The 4,976-nt window shown below is 45.3% G+C and overlaps 1 annotated feature.

Annotated features, from left to right (window-relative positions):
• Positions 3,402 to 3,902: an enhancer, noted in NCBI's record as "H3K27ac hESC enhancer chr14:56332166-56332666 (GRCh37/hg19 assembly coordinates)". NCBI's record gives its function as "activates a minimal SCP1, AML or CMV promoter by ChIP-STARR-seq in primed H9 embryonic stem cells {active_cell/tissue: H9 hESC(primed)}" and the evidence as "EXISTENCE:reporter gene assay evidence [ECO:0000049][PMID:30033119]".

The raw sequence follows: 4,976 nt of genomic DNA on the forward strand, positions 1-4,976 counted from the left end.
AGCGAGGCTGGGGGAGGGGCGCCCACCATTGCCCAGGCTTGCTTAGGTAAACAAAGCAGCCAGGAAGCTGGAACTGGGTGGAGCCCACCACAGCTCAAGGAGGCCTGCCTGCCTCTGTAGGCTCCACCTCTGGGGGCAGGGCACAGACAAACAAAAAGACAGCAGTAACCTCTGCACACTTAAATGTCCCTGTCTGACAGCTTTGAAGAGAGCAGTGGTTCTCCCAGCATGCAACTGGAGATCTGAGAACGGGCAGACTGCCTCCTCAAGTGGGTCCCTGACCCCTGACCCCTGAGCAGCCTAACTGGGAGGCACCCCCCAGTAGGGGCAGACTGACACCTCACACGGCTGGGTACTCCTCTGAGATAAAACTTTTAGAGGAACGATCAGACAGCAGCATTTGCGGTTCATGAAAAACCACTGTTCTGCAGACACCACTGCTGATACCCAGGCAAACAGGGTCTGGAGTGGACCTCTAGCAAACTCCAACAGACCTGCAGCTGAGGGTCCTGTCTGTTAGAAGGAAAACTAACAAACAGAAAGGACATCCACACCAAAAACCCATCTGTACATCACCATCATCAAAGACCAAAAGTAGATAAAACGCCAAAGATGGGGAAAAAACAGAGCAGAAAAACTGGAAACTCTAAAAAGCAGAGCACCTCTCCTCCTCCAAAGGAACGCAGTTCCTCACCAGCAATGGAACAAAGCTGGACGGAGAATGATTTTGACGAGTTGAGAGAAGAAGGCTTCAGATGATCAAACTATGAGCTACAGGAGGAAATTCAAACCAAAGGCAAAGAAGTTAAAAACTTTGAAAAAAATTTAGATGAATGTATAACTAGAATAACCAATACAGAGAAGTGCTTAAAGGAGCTGATGGAGCTGAAAGCCAAGGCTCGACAACTACGTGAAAAATGCAGAAGCCTCAGGAGCCGATGCAATCAACTGGAAGAAAGGGTATCAGTGATGGAAGGTGAAATGAATGAAATGAAGCGAGAAGGGAAGTTTAGAGAAAAAAGAATAAAAAGAAATGAGCAAAGCCTCCAAGAAATATGGGACTATGTGAAAAGACCAAATCTACGTCTGATTGGTGTACCTGAAAATGATGGGGAGAATGGAACCAAGTTGGAAAACACTCTGCAGGATATTATCCAGGAGAACTTCCCCAATCTCTAGCAAGGCAGGCCAACATTCAGATTCAGGAAATACAAAGAATGCCACAAAGATACTCCTCGAGAAGGGCAACTCCAAGGCACATAATTGTCAGATTCACCAAAGTTGAAATGAAGGAAAAAATGTTAAGGGCAGCCAGAGAGAAAGGTCGGGTTACCCTCAAAGGGAAGCCCATCAGACTAACAGCTGATCTCTCGGCAGAAACTCTACAAGCCAGAAGAGAGTGGGGGCCAATATTCAACATTCTTAAAGAAAAGAATTTTCAACCCAGAATTTCATATCCAGCCAAACTAAGCTTCATAAGTGAAGGAGAGATCTTGCTAACTTTTTGATGTGGGTGTTTAGTGCTATAACTTTTCCTCTTAACACTGCCTTAGCTGTGTCCCACAGATTCTGGTATATTGTATCTTTGATCTCACTAGTTTTGAAGGACTTCTTTATTCTTCTCTAATTTTATTATTCACCCAAAAGTCATTCAGGAGAAGGTTGTTTAATTTCCATGTAATTATATGGCTGTGAGCAATTTTCTTAGTTTTGATTTCTATTTTTATTGCATTCTGCTCTGAGAGTGTAATTGGCATGATTTTTAAAAAATTGCTGAGAACTGTTTTATGCCTGACTGTGTGGTCAATTTTAGAGTATATGCCATGTGGTAATGAGAAGAATGTATATTCTGTTGTTTTTAGGTGGAGAGTTCTGTAGATGTCTACTAGGTCCATTTAGTTAAGTATTGAGTTCAGGTTCTGAATATCTTTGTTAATTTTCTGCCTCGAGGATCTGTCCAATCCTGTAAGTGGGATGTTGAAGTCTCCCACCATTATTGTGTGGGAATCTAAGTCTCTTCATAGGTCTCTAAGAACTTGCTTTATGAATCTGTGTGCTCCTGTGTTGGATACATATATACTTAGGATAATTAGGTTTTCTTGTTGAATTAAGCCCTTTGCCATTATGTAATTTCCTTCTTTGTCTTTTTTGATCATTGTTGGTTTAAAGTCTATTTTGTCTGAAATTAGGATTGCAACCCTTGATATTTTCTGTTTTCCATTTGCTTGTGCCATTTTCCTGTCTTTATTCCCTGTCTCTTTCAGGGATGCCAATGAGTCATAGATTTGATCTGTTTACATAATCCCATATTTCTTGGAGGTTTTGTTTATTCCTTTTCATTATTTTTTCTTTATTTTTGTCTGATGGTCTTATTTTAGAAAGCCAGTCTTCAATCTCTGAGATTCTTTCCTCAGCTTGGTCTATTCTGCTGTTACTACTGCAATTGCATTATGAAATTCTTGTAGTGTATTTTTTAGCTCTATCAGATCAGTTAGGTTCTTTTTTACACTGTTTTGTCTGTCAGCTCTTGAATCGTTTTATTGTGATCCTTAGATTCCTTTGATTGGGTTTTGATGTTTCCCTTAATCTTGATCTTCATTCCTATTCATATTCTGAATTTTATTTCTGTTGTTTCAGCCATCTCAGCCCAGTTAAAAACCCTTGCTGGAAAACTAGAGAGGTTGTTTGGAGGAATGAAGACACTTTGGTCTTTTGAATTGCCTGGTTCTTTCTCATCTCTGCATGTGGGTGTTCCTTTAACTGTGGTGTAGATTGAGTACACTCAATAGACTTCTTTTCTGGATGTTTTCAGAGGGTGAGGCTTTGTGCAGGGTCTTTGTAGCGGAATTCTTGTTGGTTTCACAGTGGGTTATGTTTGCAAAGTATTTTTGGTGTTGAAGTTTGGGGTTTGATCCACTAGGTGGCACTTAAGTATAATGAGCCCCCAGGCTCTTTGTTTCTTCCCCAGACCAAGGACAGCATGGGCAGAACCGCTGCTGTGGCCGCGACAGAGGGGCTGTCGGTTGCCTCTGGGAGTCTCTCCCCAGGGACACCCAGAGCCACTGCCAGTGGGTGCGCTCAGCCAGGGCAGCTGTTCTGCGATCCCGAGCTGGCGGCCCTGCCTGGTGGAGAGGGCAGGGTAGGGGCTCCCCGGGAAGACGGGCTAGACTCCTTTCTGTATGGTGGCTGCTGTGTGCTGGAGGTCCCAGCCTAGAGACTAGGCCTTTTGTTCTTAGGTTGACTCCGGCATTTCTTCCTGGGAGAAATGCTGGGCTGCCTCTGATTGAAGTGTTTCCGCAGGCAGGGTGGCTGTCCTGGCGTCCCAGGTTAGGCGGCCCCCAGTCCGTGAGAAGTGAGGGTGGGACCTGCATAGGGAGGGGAACAGTCCTGCCGCTTTTCCGTGAGGCAGCTGCTCTGTGCTAGGGGTCCGTACCATCCCCTGTCCCAACAGACTTTCTAGGCCGGCCCTCCCTCTGGGAGCTCTTCCCCAGGGAGGCGAGGAGCTGCTACTGGCCCGATTGCCCTGGAGGGGGTGGGGGTGAGGGGACTGCCGGGGGTGGTGGGTGGAGTCCCAGGTTGAGAGGTCTTGCCCAGTGAGGAAAAATGGGGTGGAGGACCCATGTAAAAAACGATCTGAATGCTTTTTTATAGGGCAGCTGCACTGTGCCGGGGGGCCAGTCAGTCCCTCATCACCCTGGGCTCTCCAGTGCCTGAAGGCAGCAACAGCAAAGGCTGCAAAACAGCAAAGATGGTGGCCCACCCCTCCCTCCGGGAGCTCCCTCTCAGGGAGGCGTGGAGCTGCTACCATGGTCACATGTGGCTGGAGTTCCAGGTCAGTGGGTCTTACCCCACCAGGTGCCGTGGAAGTGAGGCCTGCAGACTGTCTCTGCTCAGCCCCTTGGATTCAGCCCCTTTCCCTTAAGGGAGCCTAACCTACCCCTTTGCCAGAGCTGTGGCTGCTAATCCTGGGATGCCCGGGGACCAAAGGCTCCTAGGACCCTGATCAGTGGCTCTGCCCAGACTCCACCTAGCTCTGTGTGTCAGAGTGAACCCTGGTAGTAGGTTCATGAGGGGGACCTCCTGACCTCAGCGTTGCAAAGGTCTGTGGAAGAAGCGTGGGTCCCTGGGATCTCTCACTCAGTCACTGTTCCCATGGAAGGGGAGCCTCCTCTGGCTCCTTGCCTCTCCCAGATGGGTGGTTGTCCTGCCTGGCTCCTCTCTATTCTCTGTGGATCGAGTTATTTCCTTGATGATTCCCAGTGTGCACACCTGGATGTTTCCGGCACATACTAGCTACTTCTAGTTGGCTGTCTTCGATCAGTCTTTAAAATTTTAATTTTCAGTGTTTGTTTTGGTATATAGAAGTAAGATTGAATTTTGTGTGGTAACCTTGTATCCTGAGGCCTTGTTAAACTCACATATTAATTTATTGTTTTTTTTCTATGTGAACAGTCATATTATTTATGAATAGGGACAGTTTTATTTCTTCCTTTCTATTCTGTATGTCTTTTTTCGTTTTCTTGTTAGTTACTCTGGCTAAGACTTCCTGATAGTGAATGGGAGAAGTAAAAGTGAATATTCTTGCTTTGTTCCCGGTTTTAGCTTGAAAACATTCAGCTGACCTTAAGTATGATGTTAGCTGTAGGTTAGATGCCTTTTAGGAGGTTGAGGATGATCTCTTCTATTCCTGGTTTGTAAGAATTTTTATCATAATGAATTTGGATTTTTTTTTCAAATGCTTTTTCTGCATCAGTCTATAATCATGTGACATTCCTTCTCTAGAACTTTAATATGGTGGGTTACATGATTGAGTTTCAGACATGAACCAGCCTTGCGTTCCAGGGCTATACCCTGCTTGATTGTGGTGTGTTATTCTTTTTATACACTGCTGGATTCAATTTACTGATACTTTGTTGAGGATTTTTTCATCTATGTTTATTAGAGAATTTGGTCTTTAATTTTCTTTTCCTTGTACT

Source organism: Homo sapiens, chromosome 14 (genome assembly GCF_000001405.40).
Source record: "Homo sapiens chromosome 14, GRCh38.p14 Primary Assembly".
NCBI classification, from domain to species: Eukaryota; Metazoa; Chordata; class Mammalia; order Primates; family Hominidae; genus Homo; species Homo sapiens.